Source organism: Homo sapiens, chromosome 15, assembly GCF_000001405.40.
Source record: "Homo sapiens chromosome 15, GRCh38.p14 Primary Assembly".
In the NCBI taxonomy this organism is placed as follows: Eukaryota; Metazoa; Chordata; class Mammalia; order Primates; family Hominidae; genus Homo; species Homo sapiens.
In genome coordinates, this window is record NC_000015.10 from 61933337 (window position 1) to 61953393 (window position 20057).

Consider the following 20057-nt stretch of genomic DNA (forward strand, 5'->3'; position numbering starts at 1 on the left):
GCATAAATAACAGATACAAGCCAAAAATTCAATAGTAACAATGTATGAATATTGCATAATTTGTAGTAAATAAAATGAAATATAAATGAACATATTTCATATAAATGGACATTAACAGATATAATACCCATAATCTGTATCTGTTGTTAATGTCCATTTGAGTATATTGCTCACTGCCCAATTAGGGTATATGCTCACTGTTGAATCTATAATCAATACGGAATATGGATATTAAAATATGCCATATGTATTATAGGTATTAATGTATGACATAATATAATTAAAAATATTTACTGAAGGAAATATCAGCATAATAAAAAATAGCTCTCTAAAATACCACTGACATATTATTTAGTTCAAATCATCATGGCATAAGACCTTGGCTCTTCAATTCTTTAATTAGTATCCTTAATACATAATCTACTACATATAACATTTATTCAATAGAAACACAATTAATGCTTATATACCAAGGATAATCATGAATTCAAAAATAATCAGGTAAGGCTCCAAAGTCACTACTAAATTATTCTTAAGTCGTTATATATACATATATATATAGCTATGTAATAAAACTGTATATATAATTAATCACTCATATATAAAATTCTTCTGTTGGTAATAAATCAAAATGTGTTTTGGTGCTGATATTACTTGGAAAGAAATAAAACCCTGAGTACTTTGCCTTAGCCTTGGAAGATTAGAAACACTAACAAAGTGAAGATAGAGGGCAGGACCAATGCACATTCTGTAGGCCAAATAGAATTTTATAGACATATTAAATGTTTTAATGAAAAGTCCCACACAAAAAAAAGCCAACACTCTAAAACTGACTATCAAGAGCTAAGGATTTATTTCTAATTACAGAAATGTATTACATACCTGGTTGATATCATTGTTATAAAGGATAATGGAAAGAGATTCAAAGTGAAAGTCAAATTGGAGACTGACAATCTGGTTCATAGAGAGCTTTGAGTCTGTCCAATCTTCTTGTTCTAATGGTGAAAATTTAAAAGCTTTTAAGTAGGTACGTAATTTTATAAATATTTTTAAATATGAGATAATTTCTTATTCTAAATTTATATGACGCTTTCTGGGATTCTGTAAATCATATTGAGACAATTAATAAAAATGGCAATTATGTTCCAACTGTTAAATTTTAAAAATGGCAATGACTATTCCATATATATTTAGCATATATGTGCAAAGAGGCACAGGCAGACTATGTTAAAAAATTTTTTTTTAAAGAGGAGGCCTTAATTTTCAAGGCACTGACACCTAACTGGCTACAAGCCATTTTCAAGACATTATGAAATTGGAGACTCAGAACAGTCCAATACTTTGCCTTATATTAGACAGCTAGTAACAGATTTTCTGCTAGACTAATGCACCTCTCACTAACTTTATTTTATTTTATTTTATTTTATTTTTTGAGACAGAGTCTCGCTGTGTTGCCCAGGCTGGAGTGCAGTGGCACGATCTCAGCTCACTGCAAGCTCTGCCTCCCAGGTTCATGCCATTCTCCTGCCTCAGCCTCCCAAGTAGCTGGGACTACAGGCGCCCGCCACCACTCCCGGCTAATTTTTTTGTATTTTTAGTAGAGATGGGGTTTCACCATGTTGGCCAGGCAGGTCTCGATCTCCTGACCTCGTGATCTGCCCACCTCGGCCTCCCAAAGTGCTGGGATTACAGGTGTGAGCCACTGCACCCAGCCTCATTATCTTTAATTACCTATATTACCCAATCCATTTTCTTTATCAGAAGAACAGAATATAACTCAATAGCAAAATCAAACAGAGTTCACATATGATGCAGGGGAAAGGAGTGGGTGCTTTGGAATTTTGAGACAAATGAGACTTCAGGAAGTAAGTCAGTCTTTTCTCTCATCTTTAGATAGATCACACAGACTGAATAGATCTTGCTTTCAATCACTCTTACGGACTGATTCTATAATCTTTTTCAACACTGACTCTAATTTTTTGTCATACTATAGAACAGTCTGTTTTTACAAGTTACTGGAAAAACAAATACTGCGTAACTTTAACCACGTAAGCCTTCTCCAAGTTAGAAAATTCTATTTTTCTGAGAAATAATTTATATTCTAATTTTCATCATCTTTGCAGCTTCCATTTGAATTCACAAATTTTCCCAAGTGACACGGTGTCCATATAGCAAGAACCAGATACATGATCGTGATCACGGCTGAACACAGTGAGATCATTAATCACATAAGGCTTGCCTGTTAATAGTTTATTCATCTCTACATAGTTCCTGTCTAACTATAACAACAGCCTTTTTATCTAGCATTTGTCTGTATGGTGGCACAAACTTCACCTGGGGAGATGTTGACCTCATCAAGCTTATGCAATACTTAAAACTATCCACTTAAACCAGAAACCTTGCACACTGTTCTAGTCATTTGTTTGTGTGATTTCAAAACACACCTAGCCTAACTATAGGAGAAGCAGTGTTGATATGGTATATCAACTGGTAGTTTTACCGATTACTGTCATTTGAAGTAACAGCTGATGGTATGAGAGCATTAGAAAAGCACAGCAGCCAGGACCATTTACTATATGGGCAAGGGGTACTTCATCTCTTTTTAGCCATGAAAATATTAACCTATTTACAGTCTAATTAAACATAATATTCACATCAATGGCTTTAAATTATGAAAAAAGAGTGAAATTATATGTAATATAATCTGTTTAAGAAATCAAAAAGAAACCTTGTATTTTAGAAAAATTATTTAAAAATGGCTGAATTCAAAAGGTTCACTGCTTTTAATAGGTTCAAATTAATGATCTGAAAAATTATCTTATGTATTTGAAACATAACGCTCCAATAAGTCCAGATAAATAAAGCTGTTACAAGAATACCTTCCTTTCTCATGGTTCAATCACCTGAGTATGACATGTGATACCAAGGTCCTTTTCTCTCTTAATTAATTTGGGACCTTACTACACTGCCTATCTAGCTTGATTCTTCTCTCAAGATACGCCACTTCAGTGCCTAGTGAATTCAGCAAATTTAGCATTCACAAGTAAAGGGTAAACAAGCACCATGCCAACAACAAGTGACCCTTCCCCCTGTAGCAGAGAACAGACATACCTCCCAGCCCCAGCCGAATTTCCACAGTAAGTAGTACAATACTGAATTAGTTCATACCACATTGTGCTGGACAGCTAGAAAAATACTAAATATAAATATGACATTAACACCAATTTTTTCTCCATAAAGTAAATATCATCAATTTATACCTTTGAGATGGTCAGGTACACTTGAAACATCAACTTTTCTCACTCTTACAGTCTCCTGCACAGACTGTGTAGGGCTTGGTTGTGAGGAAGCTTCTCCAAGATTTTCTAGCAAAATTTTCATTAAAACTGTCAAGTCATCTTCACTGAGAGCAACCTAGAAACCACCAATAATTTGTTAACTCTAAGTAATAAAAAAAATGTAGACTATCATATCTATATCTCGATTTGTGGTTTTTCAAATTAATTGTTCACCTACTTAAAAAGAAGAGAGTTAGAGTTAGGACTATAAATACCAGAACAGAAGTATTTCACCTTGTTTACTGTGTGCACACACACTTCTGCCTTCGCCCATATCCAGGCCCCTGCCTCTGGCACTCCAACACTCTCTATGGCTTATCTGTTACTATGTCTTCCTGTTCCTGGACCCGTGCCTATCTGTCCCATTTCCCTATCTTCCCATCTCCATTCTGTCTCTCTCTCATCTCAACCAGTACCAGTTCCTTCTTCTATATTATTTACTCTCCTTGAAACTAAATACAGGACGAGTGTTGTTCAGTTTCTAGTCTCTACCAAATAGTAAAAAGATGCTCTCCTGCTACGTAGCTCTTCATCTCAGTATATATGCATCTGGACATACATAAAACATTTGTTTAACTTATCAAGAATAATACCATTTAGAACAATAACAAATGTATCTACAAAGAATGTTTAAAGAACAAAAAATAGGAAGGTAGCATCTTATCTTTTACCTTCATAAAAGGGTATGTGTGGCAAAAAGAAAAAGAGCCAGGGCTTTGAGTCAGGCAGATCTGTATCAACTACCACTTTCAAGCTGTCTTGCTGCAAAGTTTCTTAACGTCCTTAACTCAAGTTTCTTTTCTTTTCTTTTCTTTTTTGAGATGGAGTCTCGCTCTGTCGCCCAGGCTAGAGTGCAGTGGCACAATCTTGGCTCACTGCAAGCTCCGCCTCCCAGGTTCACGCCATTCTCCTGCCTCAACCTCGTGAGTAGCTAGAACTACTGGCGCCCGCCACCACGCCCGGCTAATTTTTTGTATTTTTAGTAGAGACGTGGTTTCACCATGTTAGCCAGGATGGTCTCGATCTCCTGACCTCGTGATCCAACCGCCTCGGCCTCCCAAAGTGCTGGGATTACAGGCGTGATCAAGTTTCTTAATCTCTAAAATAGGCATAATACCAACTTTCTCACAGATGGCTGCAGAACAAGAAACTAAAACAAACGAAACTGCTACTGGCTGCTAAAATCCATTAAACCAGTACTGTCTTTGAAGCTCCTTATCCTTCTACCTTATGTAAGACACAGTGGCTCCAAAGGCCTGTTTCAAGTACTTACAAATTCACACAAGCATGCATGCAAGCACGCATGCATAGCAAATCTCCTCTGAATACCACAGTACCCTATGTCCCCCAAATTAGGTCCCTACCACCAGAGAAATTGCCTAGTTCCCACTTTAAATGAAAATACAGAGCTATTTAAGTACAAGATAATGACCAGGGATTTATGGCTTGTCCTAAGCCCCAGGCCTCATATAACAGGTGTAATTTTAACACCTTAGAATTTCCTTGTATATCCCAACCCACTTCTCATACCAACCAAGATTACCACAGCTTTCTGAAGGGCAACTAAGTTCACCCCTCTTTCACTTTGCTGTGGGGTGGGGGGGGAACAAGTATGAAGGACAATTTTGAAAGGCAGCCCCACAGTTCTTTAAAAACCATCAAAATGATCCACCCAAAACAACCTGTAGGTATCACCTGCCTGATACCCTTTTTTAGCTGCAGCCCAGACCAGGGAAACAACTTGCCAGTGTCACCTGCCTGATACCCTTTCTTGGCTGCATCCCAGGCCCAGGAAAACTATACAGACTATGACCAAAGGGGGGTGTTTAGAGAGACCTGGATCAGCGACAAATTAGGCAGTGGTGGCCTCATCCACTGTTGCTGCATTCCTGAGTTAATAAGGATGCTTTTGGTTAAAGTAATTATAATACTTTGATGCTAAAGTATCAGATGTTACTTTTTTTTCTTGTTTCTTCTAAAATACCTTAAAAAGCATAAAGGAAAAGGACAGAGAATACTATAATCTTCCCCTGTGAATCTACCACCTGGCTTTGTCAAATCTTAACAAGCTGCAATATTTCCTTCAGATCTCGTTTCCCATTACAGATATAGCAGAAGCCCCGTGTGTACTTCTCTGAGACCCTATTCCCTTCTCCTTTCGCCCTTAGAGAAAGACACCAGCCTAATTTAGAGATTATTTCCATGAATACTTTTCTTAAAGTTATCACACTGCATCTCTTATAAACAATATATAATAGTATTATATTGCCTGTTGAAAATCTGAAATAATATAAAACTGATAGAACTGTACTATCATTTTGCAACTCACTTTTTTCATTTTTATGTTCAAGATATATCAATTTTGTTTGATATAGTTCTATTTTATTCACTTTATCTGCTTTACAACATCCATTATATGAAGATACCAAAATTTTATCCATGTTCTGCTACCAACAGACATTCAGGTTTTACTTATGCTTTCAACAAACCTATAACCACAAAATCTTTGAAAGGGATTGTCAGATATTAGTCCTGGGATCTAATCTTTGAAAGGGAGAGCCAAATATTAGTCCTGGGATCTAACCTCTTGGCAGAAAGACAGAAATTAAAAGAAGGTACCCATACTCTGGAATAAAGGCTACCCTATGAATGCCCAAACAAACAAAATTTAATAATTGTTCTTCATGTAATATATCCACTAGTATATGAACAGAAACCCTTCATTTCTACAACAAGCTTCAATTTTAACTTCTTCCCTAGTAAAACTCTGCTCCTTTGATCCTTCCTATTTCATGTTAGAACCAACTCTGAAATAATCACAGGTATGAAAACCCATTAAACCACTAAATTTTTGTTTGGTTTTGTTTAGTCTCTCTCACCCCTATCCCATCCTCGGCTGTTTGGTTTCAACAGTTTCACACATAGGCACACAAGAATCACAGGATTCCTATACTTCCACGACTACCTTCAACCAGTCTCACCTCCTCCTCTGAGCTGATATGCAACCTTCTAGCTACATTATTAAAAATAACGCTGTGGCCGGAGCACGGTGGCTCACGCCTGTAGTCCCAGCATTTTGGGAGGCCGAGGAGGGTGGATCACCTAAGGTCAGGAGTTTGAGGCCAGCCTGGCCAACCTGGTGAAACCCTGTTTCTACTAAAAATACAAAAATTAGCCAAGTGGATGGCGGGTGCCTGTAATCACTGCTACTCAGGAGGCTGAGGCAGGAGAATCGCTTGAACCCAGCTAGTGGAGGTCACAGTGAGCCTAGATCATGCCACTGCACTCCAGCCTAGGCCACAGAGCAAGACTCCGTCTCAAAAAAAAAAAAAAAAGTTGTATACTTATCAAATATACACATTTGCCTATTAAAATGGTAACACCTTTCTAATTAAAACAAGGCCTCTACAAACTACACTATTAAAAATAATGGTGTATTTATATGCTTATCAAATATACACATTTGCCTATTCAAAATGATATCACCTTTCTAATTAAAACGGGCCCTCTACACATTTAAAAATACTAAGGTGCTTTGAATGTAGTGTCTGAATATCACTTTGCATTGTCTTACAATTTAACTGCATTAAAACTTTAACAGAATTTTCCAAAATTAAGAATAATATTTTTAGTACACTCCAACAGATTTTATCTCAGACTCCTTGCTGGTTTTACCAAATATCTAACTAAAATGAAAACAAAGAAAAGTGAGGGAAACAAGGATGATTTCATTTGCATATTTTTTATTTATTTATTTTTGTTGTTTTTAAATAGGAAACAAAATCTAGTTTACTCAATTTATTACTTGGGCAAAAGTACACATACAACAGACAAATGCTCACTAAGAGAAAACTGGTTTAGCTTTATCAATAACGTAGCAACTCCTACATTCTGATATCCACTAGAACTGCACTATGATCAACGAGAAAAGCCTATCAAGAAATTTTCATATATTATATACTAGCTACTTACCTGCATAGGTTTTAGTTTTCCTTTTATCTCCATCCCTGGAATTTGCACATACCATGCTGCTGCTAAGTTTCGCTGTATGGACAAAAGCATGTTGACTGGTTTTAAAATTTCAATGTCATTTTGTGGCAAGCTAGCCTGCAAAATAGTTCTGAAAGAAAAACAAGAATTTATTTTTTACTTCAAATTTACATTTTAAAATGAGGACTATCCTATTGTGTAACAGTTTCCACACAGCATTTCATAAAGGCTAAAAGCTGCTAACAGAAGTCTTTTAGAATACACTTCTTTTCACATTTTTAAGATCAATCTAAATCACAACACATAAGTTTATATGCAGAGCTATCCAAAACCAAACCTACATAACACTGATTTCAAAAACATAATTTTCATACACTATGACAACTGCATTATTTATTATTTTTCACAAAGGCTGTTTGATACAGCGAATAGTTTACTGTCATGCAAACAAATGTTACATCCTCCTAAAACTGGAAGATGAAGAAAGTAATCTTATACTTAGCCCTTAATATGTTATTGGTACTTCTCCAGACTCAAGGGGGAAACTCAACTAATCTAAAAGTTAAACGAACATACGGTAATAGTCATTCCAGCTTGCCTGCCAACAACCATTTGCCTAACCAAATAAACGCTCTTGTCACTCAATAGAGCCAACACTGTCCCATTTCGATTCACTAATCCTTTCGATAACTCACTGAAAATTCCCAAATGTGACAAGGTTTGGAAATGAGAAATAAATCTTAAATTTTATATATTACGAAGTTTTTTCCCACCAAAAATAAAAAAGGAAATAGCTACGTGCAAAGTGAGAAAAATAAAAAATTTAAACTAAGTATTGAGTAAACTATAATTTTATAATAGCTAATTTTTATAGAATGAAAAAAATCATATTACATATGTAGTAAGGGAAAATACAGACTCCATGAGGCACATACATGACTGTTTAACCACTGACCAAGAAGCCAATGGTCAAGGTTTCATAATTAGAAGAAATAAGGAATGAAAACCACAAATTACTACAACATTTTACCTTAGGTAAAAATTGTATGAAAATCCTATTTCTAGTAAGCAATACACAATTAGATTACATATTTATACCTTGACAGCTTCAACTGAGTGAGTTCGATGTTCATTTTATCAATGACTGGAGGAAGAGAATAATGTTCCATAGGAACCAAGCTAAACTTGTTTTCAACTCTGATTAAACCCAGATCTGCTATAACAGCATTAGGTGATACTGAAGACTGAGGAATAATAATAACTGGTGCTTTCAAATTAATATCCATCAAAAGGCGGAAACTCTTTTGAGCCAAGTCTTTCATGCTGGAAGCAGCTCTTTCTGCAGCCTGGACTGTGGCTGTACTCAAAGCTTCTTTAGCAGTTTGGAAATTGTTGAGGAAGTTCTGTTGGAAGAGACAGATATTTAGGGGAAAAAAGGCATTTATTTTTAAAAGAAAAAACTTTAAAAAGCATTTACTTTAAAAACTAAATAAAAAAGTAATATAAAAGATGTTATTTATGATTTTGTGTATGTAGAGAGTGAAGTCTAGAAACATACACTCTGAGCTATTAACAATAGTTACTGTAGGAAGAAAGAGCTCTTTCTTACATTTCATAAAATATTTTTCATTTTATAAAATATTTTATAAAATATAAAATAATTGAGAATTATTTTATTCTCATGATAAATTTTTGCAACAGTTCTTTTAAAAATCTCCTTTTTATTAAGAATGTTGGTTATTTTAAATTCAAATTTAAATGAAAGGGAGAAGGGCAGTACCGTACTTCTCCAAAATTGGGTTCAATTCTGTACTGCTAGGCCACAGCAATAAAGTTTAGTCTTAGAAACTAAGCTTCTGCCGGCTTATTTCTGATAAGGCTTTTTTTTTTTTTTTTATGTACTCAGCATGAGGAAAGACAGTTAATTGTCTACAATCCTGTAATCATTAGTAAGAGTCAAAATTTATTTATAATAAGATGTATTTCATCTCAATTTCAACTAAAAACAGAAAAATCTTTCCCAATGAGGATAAGATCATTCTCAGAAGCAATATTCTTGGTGTACATCCATTAATATTACAAAAGCAACCTAACCTCCCCGGCACCCACCTCCAAGTTAATTGCTCTCTAGAAAAGTAAACATGATGGTTTAAGTAGAAATGCATGCTTTTAAGGAATCATGAGATTCTGCACATGGGAAACCCTAAGGACTCCACCAAAAGGCTCCTGGAACTGACATACAACTTTGGTAAAGTTTCAGGATACAAAATCAATGTACAAAAATCAGTAGCATTTCTATACACCAATAACATCCAAGCTAGAGAGCCAAATGAAGAACACAATCCTGTTTACGATAGCCATCAAAAAAACAAAGTACCTAGAAATACATCTAACCAAGGAGGTGAAGGATCTTTACAAAGAGAACTAGGAAACACTGCTGAAAGAAATCACAGATGACACAGACAAATGGAAAAACATTCCATGCTCATGGATTACAAGAATCAATATTGTTAAAATGGCTATACTTCTCAAAGCAATCTATAGATTCAATGTTATTCCTATCAAATGACCAGTGTCATTTTTCACAGAACTAGAAAAAACTATTCTGAAATTCATATGGAACCAAAAAAGAACCCAAATAACCAAAGCAATCCCAAGCAAAAAGAACAAAGCTGAGGCATCACATTACCTGACTTTATACTATACTATAAAGCTACAGTAACCCAAACAGCATGGTACTGGTACAAAAGCAGACAAACAGACCAAGGGAACAGAATTGAGAACCCAGAAATAAAGCTGTACACCTACAGCCACCTGTTCTTTGACAAAGTCAACAAAAAATAGGCAATGGGGAAAGGATTCCCTATTCAGTAAATGGTGCTGAGATAGCTGGCTAGCCATATGCAAAAGAATGAAACAACGTTTTATTCTATGGTGAAAGGACCCCTACCTTTCACCATATACAAAAATTAACTCAAGATGGATTAAATATTTAAGTGTAAGACCTCAAACTATAAGAATTTTACAAGAAAACCTAGGAAACACCATTCTAGATATCGGCTCTGGGAAAGAATTTATGACTAAGTGCTTAAAAGCAACTGCAACAAAAATAAAAATTGACAAGTGAGACCTAATTAAAGAGCTTCTGCACTACAAAAGAAACTTTCAGTGGAGTAAACAGACAACCTACAAAATAGAAAAAATGTTCGCAAATTATGCATCTGACAAAGGTCTAACATCCAGAATCTATAAAAAAAAAAAAGTGTGAACAAGTGAACAAGCAAAAAACAAATCCCATTTAAAACTGGGCAAAAGACATGAACAGACACTTCTCAAAAGAAGACATACAAGGAGCCAACAAACATATGAAAAAATGTTCCACATCACTAACAATTAGAGAAATGCAAATCAAAACCATAATGAGATACCATTTCACAGCGGTCAGAATGGCTGTTATTAAAAAGTCAATAAATAACAGATGCTAGGGAGACTGCAGAGAGAAGAGAACAATTACATAACTATTCATGCAAATCTATTTCAGCCACTGTAGAAAGCAATTTAGAGATTTCTCAAAGAACTCAAAACAAAACTACCATTTGACCCAGTAATCCCATTACTGGGTATATAACCAAAAGAAAATAAATGGTTCTACCAAAAAGACACACACTCACGTGTTCTTCAGAGCACAATTCACAACAGCAAAGACCTGGAATCAAACTAGGTGCCCATCAACAGTGGACTAGATAAAGGAAACGTGGCACATATACACCATGAAATGCTACACAGTCATAAAAAAAGAATGAAATCATGTCCTTTGCAGCAACATGAATGCAGCTGGAGGCCATTATCCTAAGCAAATTAACGCACGAACAGAAACCAAATACTACATATTTTCACTTATAAATGGGAGCTAAACACTGGGTATTTCATGGATGTAACATTGGGAAAAAAAGACACTGCGGACTACTACAGAGAGGGAGGAAAGGGGGAAAAAGTTGAAAAACTATTCTCAGTACTTGGGTGATGGGATCAATCATAACCCCAAACCTCAGCATCATGCAATATACTCATGTAGCAAGCCTGCCCATGTATGCCCTGAATCTAAAATAGTTGGATTATCAACTGAAATTAACAAGTGAAGTCCAAAAGAGTTGAAATTATCTTTCTTTGAAAAAAAAATATGATTTTTAAAAGTTTTGATTGGCAGCCCCACTAAGAAGAATAGGCAGATTTAAATCCTTCAGCCCATGTGATATGGTCTGGCTCTGCGTCCCCACCCAAATCTCATCTCGAATTGTAATCCCCAGGTGTCAAGGGAGGGAACTGGTAGGAGGTGACTGGATCACAGGGGCAGTTTCCCCCATGCTGTTCTTGTGATAGTGAGTTCTCATGAGATCTGATGGTTTTATAAGAGGCTCTTCACCCTAAGCTTGTTCTTGTCTGCTGTCATGTAAGACGTGCCTGCTTCCCCTTCCACCATGATTCAGTTTCCTGAGGCCTCCGCAGCTATGCGGAATGGTGAGTGCATTAAACCTCTTTTCTTTGTAAATTACCCAGTCTCAGGCAGTTCTTTATAGCAGTGTGAAAATGGACTAATACACCATGACAGTTACATGGAAATAAGTAATAAAAAGAAAAGCATTTCATGATGCTGTTGATCACAATCATAACCAAAAGCTGTAAGTTCCAATATGAGTCCTCCAAATGCCTGAAAAGTTTCCTCAAAAAATTGTTTTAACTAAATACTCTTAAATATATCTCATTAAACAAGTTACAGTGGAAAGCCCTAAATTAAAACATAAAACATACATTTAAAATGTATACCTGTGGAAATGTTATAGAATTACAGTCTATATCTTCAAAACAATAATTTTAAAAATTCATTTGGTTAACATCATGAAAAGGATTTCTTTAAATATTAACATTCTGTTCAGCACTCAGGTGCTCATCACACAGCCTTATCAGTGAAGATTTTTACTATCTAGGTTCAGTTGTATAAGCAAAGATATTTAGGCCTCAGTGAGGAATAAATATATTTTTAAAAACTTACCAAAAGAGACATGAAGAATTTATGAACATAAACAATCTGAATACAACCCACTTTAAAACTAAGTTTGCCGTCTACTTTGGACATATCAGCATAGGCCTCTCCTTCTGTGGCATCTGGATAAAGAGTCAGTTGGAACCTAAAGACTTCATCTCCCAAAATAGAGACAGCCTAAAAGTATTAGATTAACTGGTTATTATATCAAAAGAGCTGTATAGCCCTTATCAATGTATTATAAATAAGTTCTCGTATTACAGAATCCTTGATAAGTAGAAATATATGAATTCAACATTAAAAATTATTAGCTAAAAACATTTTACGTGACAATAACTTCTTCCTATTTCTATAAAAAGCATTTTATCAGTGAAAATATCAACCACTTAGCTGTTCAGAAATAACTTTTACAAATCACTGTGTATCAAGAGGCCTAGTCTATACACAATGTGAAAGCAGACTATTACCGTTTTCATCTCCAATTCCTAATAAAGTGCCTGGTACATGACAGATAATAAATGTATACTGTGCAAATAAATAATAGCATCTCAAATCCAAAAGGCAAAATAAATTCCAATATAAAAATCTATTTTTTAATCACCTTTTTGTGAATGGACTGCAAATCTACATTCATAACTATAATATCTTTAAGTCTGGCAAACACATCAGTCTGCTTAGGCTTCACAGAAATAGAGGCATCCATTCCTATAGGAAACATAACATTTATAAACTTTTCACCCAATCCACATGACTAAGCCAGTGGTATTTAAGTTCAATAATATACTGACAAGATATAAAGTGAATAAAAATTACTCATTATAAGACACATTAATGGCATCAACTTTCATGTATGAGATACCTAAGAAAGGTAATAATACCTTTAAATAATAACTTTAAGGGACACAGGCATCTCCTCCAAAAAAGTTGTAGAAATTTTAAAACCAAAAAAAAAAACCCACCAAGTTTCAAAGAAATTCAAATTAATTTAGAAAATTAATCACATTTCTCCAAACTTAAATATCCTCTGCATTGGCAAGATCAGCAGTGGTCATTTAGGAAGACAATATTTGTTAAACAGTGATCTTACAAACATTTACTATATTATTAAAAACTGTTGCTCCAATAACTAAAAATAAATGAACATTACTTGATGAATAGTCTTACTTCTATAATAAACTGTATTAGGAAACAGTCTTCTAAGATTTCCCTCCAAAAAAAATTTGTCATTCTCAGTTTCTAAAGGCATAATGATTTCTGCAACTGCATAAAAATGTAGATAATGCATAATGCATAAGGAATGTCTCAAGTCAGCAATGAATCACAACAAATTTACTTGTAACATTTTAAAGCACATCTTTGAAAAGTTTGCAAAGTCTTCAATATAAGTAAACCAAAAGAAAACTCATGAGAAATCTAACAGGTACAAGCTCATTTTTCCTAGTTATGTAAAGAAACAGAAATACCTACAACAAGAAGTAACTACTTACCATGTATTTTAATATCTGCAATGTTACACTTCTGATCACAGACAAAGACATTAAATGCATTTAATTCAGCTGTGATCTTTAAATCAAACACATCCTTTTGGGAAATGTTGCTGGATACTAAAAAATAATAGAAACCTTCTGATGAGCAAAGGGAAAAGATAATACAACACATACAATAACCTCAAATCCACCAAAATAAAAGTACCCAATGTACTCTGAGGAACCAAAATGCCCTCCATTAAGATAACATGTAATTAACATAAATTTTGGAATAATTATCAAATTCCAATCTACAAAAATTAGCACGTTCCCCTTCAAATTAAGAATAAAAGCAACTATAATATTAATAGCACCTTGAAAGTGCAATTTACTAGATGGAAACTTTACTACAACTTTTTTTCTGGGAAAAAAGAAAACATTCTATATTAGAACTCTAGAATTCTCTTGGTCTAAAGTTTTGATTCTGAACTCCTTTTCGTATCATATATTAGATTAAGGAAGAATAACTCATGATAAACTGCAATGGTGATGCCCAGTTAATAAAATACATATTATTTACTATGGCACTTACATGTTATTAACTACATGATAAATTTCTCCAGATTACACCCTGTTGCTCCATCAAGAATCCTAAAATAAATTCTTTGAGAAATGAACATAAAGGGCCAACTTAAAAAATACCAAAAAAAAATTTATAATGTATATGCACGCAGGTGTATGTGTGCATAAGAATCACAATCAAACTAGCGCCCTAAATCCACTTTAGTCCAGATCCTGACTGATAAATTTAGGATCCATTTTCCTAAAAATCTGTCTTGCTGGAAGGAAATAGAGCCTTCTGATTGAAATTGCAAAAGCACGGAAAGTATCTGTCCTTAATCACCAGTACGACAGGTTGTTTTTTTCTTTAATATTTGATGTAACATAATCAAACCACAAAGACCAACAATATAGCAAAACTGGAAGACTGTTTCTTTGGGTTAATAGTGTTTCTAGTGTATTGTGAGTTTAAACATTTCTTTTTCATTTATTCAACTGTGTTGTGTATGTACTGTATGCATATATAATATAAAGGAGAGGAATTTCCAAGGATATTTCTGAGGCTATTAATGTGACAAGTACATTAAAGACAAAGCAGGTAAAGCTCTTTTACTCTAGTTTATAAGGAAATTGTTGCTCTGTTCCATGGTTTAAAAAAATCACATCCGGCCGGGCGTGGTGGCTCATGCCTGTAACCCCAGCACTTTGGGAGACCGAGGCAGGTGGAGCACCTGAGGTCAGGAGTTCACGACCAGCCTGCGCAACATGGTGAAACCCCATCTCTACTAAAAATATAAAAAATCAGCCAGGCATGGTGGTGAGCACCTGTAATCCCAGCTACTTGGGAGGCTGAGGCAAGAAAATTGCTTGAACCTGGGAAGCGGAGGTTGCAGTGAGCCAAGATCACATCACTGCACTCCAGCCTGAGCAACAAAAGTGAAATTCCGTCTCAAAAAAAAAAAAGAAAAATCAGATCCTTGTACCTGATCTAACAGTACTGACAGTTTTACACCAAACATGCCAGTAATACAGGTAAAACTCAAACTCGTAACGATCTGAAAACTGAATTACTAGATGTTAAATACTGACATTATATAATATGAAAGAAAAATAATTAAAATGATATTTGGCTTAAAAGTAAGCAAATGTTATTTATTCACTCAGGATATGTCATACCTAATTTTTCATAACATAAGTCATATGCCTGAGGACCCTGTGCCCATATCTGTGTGATCTAAATATAGTTTTGGCTAGAAACCAATATGAGTGTGTCTATTCCATGAGCTCCTTCCCTGCAGTGTCCCACTAAGCATTTAAAATTGCTGAGCACCAGGTAAGTCTACCTGACTAACTGAAACGGGCCTTTGTGACCTTGTATGACTGAATCATAACTGAACTTTTTCCTTTCTCACTTCCATTGAACTGAAGACTACAAAGACACATCAACATAAAGTACATACAATTTCTATTTTATGTAAAAGCTAGACAGTGAATTGAAATATAAATATATAATATTAAACAACATCTATTTAAAATTCCTCACTAAACTGCTCTATAATCCCATAGAGATAACATTTTCTTTCTCTTGAAACTAACCTATCAGAGCAGCAATGTCAACATGCTAAATATTCATCTTAACTGAAAAAAACAAGTTGTTATATGATTATTAAAGTTCAAAGTATTATTAGATCATAATTCAAAAATTATTACCAGCTTTGACAGCGATACTTCTGGACTCCCCCACAAGTGGTTTCAGCTCGGATTCCTTCTCAGAAGAGGAAGGCTCAGAGAATGGAGCAGCAGATGATAAAAAATCCATGAAGGAAAGTAAAGCTTCCAAATGAAGTACTAAGTCTAAGGATGCAAATGAAACCTAAGATAATGAACAATTAAAGAGGCAGATTTCAGATGCAGTAAAATCTTTACATCAGGGTTCAACAGATATAAGTAGCACAAGAACAGTTCAATTAAGGGCCTTTTTAAAATTTTTATTTTTTTAAGAACTCACTATTAACTCACTATTAAAATGTCAATCCTTGCCAGATAATAAATCAACTCTCTGCTCACTCCCATGTGCAACCACAATTTTAACTCAAAAGAACTGGATGAGTTTTAAGTAAAGATACAGGAAATATTATCAGGCTTTAAACCACATTTCAGGCAGTTCCAAGCTGATTATGCATGTTCAAATGGACTGTACCAGGTCCAGTACAGGTAATGCTTGTATGTAATGTCTGTACCAGGCCTTGCTTTATGCTTCAGTTAATCTTATTCTAATCCTAACGCCAATACATAATTCAAATGTTTAATGCTTCCATCAACGCTAGGCCAAAAAACCACAGTTGACAAAAATGAGTAACAAAATTCCCTTTAAGTGTATTATTCACATACTTGTCAAGAAATCTAAGTCAAAACTGGGAAACAATCTTTTCAGAACATAAATCAACTTTTTGTAAGAACTTTATTCCAATTCTAGTATCTACTTAACTTTATCCATAAATTAGGAATATTATTATTGCCACTGTTATTCTCACGTTAGAACTTACAATCTCACAGTTGAAAATGGCTATGAAGCTAGATATAATCAACACAACCCAACCTTATAGCAAATTATAAAAGTTTTACCTTCAGTCTCTGTTTGGTACTGTCATGAATAGTTTTAAATTCTGGTCCATCACTGTCTGCCTACAAATAGTGGAGAATTACACCACTGAGTTTCAAACACTAAAAATTCATACACTGAAAATATACATATTCTTTACTTTTCTAAGTATGCTATTAAAAGAGTAAAAAGATATTTCCTAAAGGCAAAGAAAGCCATTCAAAAAAAAAAAACAAAAACAAACTGACCACATAAGCATTTCTTACATTCCATACAAGCAAAAACTCTAATTCCTTATCCTACTGTGGAGGAAATGCTAGTATATCTAGATTAGGTACACTAATCTAAAAAGTAGGAAAAAGTGCTAGATTATAACACACTTTGCTTTGGATTACAATGGAACTTTAGGTTATTACCATTTATTCAATATCATAGGGTAACTCAGAAGGTTAATGAAAGTATCCAGGATTTTCAGATGCTTGCAAAATTCACCATAATCAATAAGTTTAGGTAGAAAAATGTTGGGAGAGAAAATGAGAATATTAAATATAAGGGTAATATAACTTCATATATTCAAATATTAAAGAATCCTAGAAATGAAACTAGTTACCTTTGTCAGTAACATTTTCAGAAGGGGTTCGTCAGTCACATTAGAAGAGTTAATAATGTGAAGAGGTTCCCCTTTAGAGTCTAAAAGAGAAAAAAGACAAAGTTGATCCATCAATTAAACATTTCACACATTTTAAAACAGGACCAGCCAAATGTACACAAATATACATTTGTCAAAACTCAGGACTGTACACTAAAAAGAGTGAAGTATGTTCTGTATAAATCTTACCTCAATAAACCTGGCTTTGAAAAAAAAGGAAACAAATTCCATAAAACAAAAATACTAGTACCCACCAATTACAACTGGTATAACCTATGGTACTACTGTATTACTCTCATCTAAACAAATCATGGTATAAAGAACCTATAAAATACATAAAGTAGGGATTATTCTCAATACAAGTTTATTTCACTTAAAGATATCCCATAGAGTTCTTATAAACTTTAAACACTAACAGAACTTTAAAAGTTAGCTTATTGCAGAAACTTAAAAGGTCAAGGATACCCACTAATGATAACTTAGTATTTATTCTGAGGGAAGGACATGAGACTACAGATGATATTAATTTTTTCCTCTATATACTTTTGTATTTGATTTTCATTTTTCACAAATACATATTAACATAATCAAAAAGAAATGTTAAAACTCACATAATTTAAAAATTTAAAAAACAAATAAAACATCACATTTCCTAATAAATTAACCCAGCTTTTCAAAATGGGTCCCCTAGAACTGTACCCAGGGACTGTTTTTGAAAAGTTGAGTTAATGTACTAGGAAATTAACACAATTGCACAGAAATCAATATGTTTAATGTTGATAAAAAGGTAGGGATCATCTGCCTAATGAATAATTTACACAGACAATATTTCACACTTACCAGTGAAATCAAAGCACTGCATACTAATTTTTTTTAGATAAGCTTTAGCAGTCATGTCATAGGTTTTAACTTTAGCTTCCATTCCAAGTTGCAGGACATTTAGCTCATGTAAAGGCCTTCCTTTCTTTTCTGATTTTTTCATCAAAGTAACCACAACCTAAAAAACGGTACCAGTATTACCACCAACTATTTCACCAATATGCAATGAAGGTAAGTCAAGAATTTAATAAGTATCCAGAGTGATATAAGGAAGAAATTCACACAATGTTAAGATGTGTACTTCTATTTGTGCCTGCAGTTTGGCATGATTCCCAGAACTCCTAGTCTGATGGACAGCCTTTCTTCTGAAAGTCTGTAAGACCAACAGCCAATTTTTACACCACTCCTAAGGCAAGCTCTTTCATCTTCGGCACCATTAACATTTTGAGCTGGTAATTCTTTGTGGTGGGAAATGTCTTATGCACTGTAGGATATGAGGCAGCATCCCTGGCCTCTACCTACCAGTTGTCATTAGTATTCTCCCCCCAGATAATGGCAACAGAAAATGTTTTCAAACAATGCCAAATATCCATTGGGAGCAATGCAAACTGCTCCCCTTTAACCCAATCATTGTCCTAAGGGAGGAGAACAATCATAATATATATTACAAAGAATATTTAAAAGGTCTTATGGACTTTATATATGTGTGTGTGTATGTGTGTTTGTGTGTGTGTGTTAAGTATATCTGCAAATAGAATGATTCATCTATCAATGTTTCAACTACCAAGGCTTAAAAACCTTCATTAACTCTGATATTAACCAGAAAAACATCCAAGTTTAACATATAACATCAAAGGATGTATTTCAGATTCTAAAAAGTAGAGCCCATTCCTTTAAAAGTTTGTTTGTTTGTTTATTGACTGATTGATTGTTAGAGACAGGGTCTTGCTCTGTCACCCAGGCTGGAGTGCAGTGGCACAATCAGAGCTCACTGCAGTCTTGACCTCCTGGGCTCAAGCGATCCTCCTGCTTCCCAAGTAGCCAGGACTAAAGGCACATGCCACCACAACTGACTAATTAAAAAAAAAATCTTTTTTTTTTTGTAGAGATGGGGTCTTGTTATGTTGCCCAGGCTGGTCTCAAATACCTGAACTCAAGCGATCCTCCAGTCTTGGCCTCCCAGAGTACTGAGATTACAGGCATAAGCCATTGCAACCAGCCTACTTAAAACTTTATTATTTTTAGCTCAGAGCAAAAACATAACCTCTATAAAATTATTTAATGATAAAACGGATCTTAGAGGAAGTCCTTGCAAGTCCCTGTATCCACTATGCTTTCTCACATACTCACACTTTTATGCCTGTTCCTCTTTCTGCCTTGCCCCAGACCCTTTCCTGATCCCTTTTCTCAGACAATTTTTTTTAATTTATTTTATTTTATTTTATTATTATTATACTTTAAGTTTTAGGGTACATGTGCACAATGCGCAGGTTAGTTATATATGTATACATGTGCCATGCTGGTGTGCTGCACCCATTAACTCATCATTTAGCATTAGGTATATCTCCTAAAGCTATCCCTCCCCCCTCCC

The 20057-nt window shown here is 34.6% G+C and overlaps 1 protein-coding gene across 9 annotated transcripts in view; it reads right to left on the reverse strand.

The window, feature by feature from the left end:
* Nucleotides 1-20057, reverse strand: part of VPS13C (vacuolar protein sorting 13 homolog C) — a 208059-nt gene that overhangs the window by 80948 nt on the left and 107054 nt on the right. For all 9 annotated transcript variants that reach the window (XR_007064464.1, NM_017684.5, NM_020821.3 and 6 more), the window contains 11 exons: nt 18488-18644; nt 17609-17688; nt 17022-17081; nt 16107-16269; nt 13857-13973; nt 12971-13074; nt 12379-12546; nt 8427-8731; nt 7311-7458; nt 3261-3414; nt 883-995 (listed from right to left, as the gene is read on the reverse strand). Coding sequence is in view for 8 of the 9 variants with exons in the window: in NM_017684.5 (NP_060154.3) it covers nt 883-995; nt 3261-3414; nt 7311-7458; nt 8427-8731; nt 12379-12546; nt 12971-13074; nt 13857-13973; nt 16107-16269; nt 17022-17081; nt 17609-17688; nt 18488-18644 (1569 nt within the window). In the remaining variant the exon portion in view is untranslated. The remainder of the gene's footprint in view (nt 1-882; nt 996-3260; nt 3415-7310; nt 7459-8426; nt 8732-12378; nt 12547-12970; nt 13075-13856; nt 13974-16106; nt 16270-17021; nt 17082-17608; nt 17689-18487; nt 18645-20057) is intronic.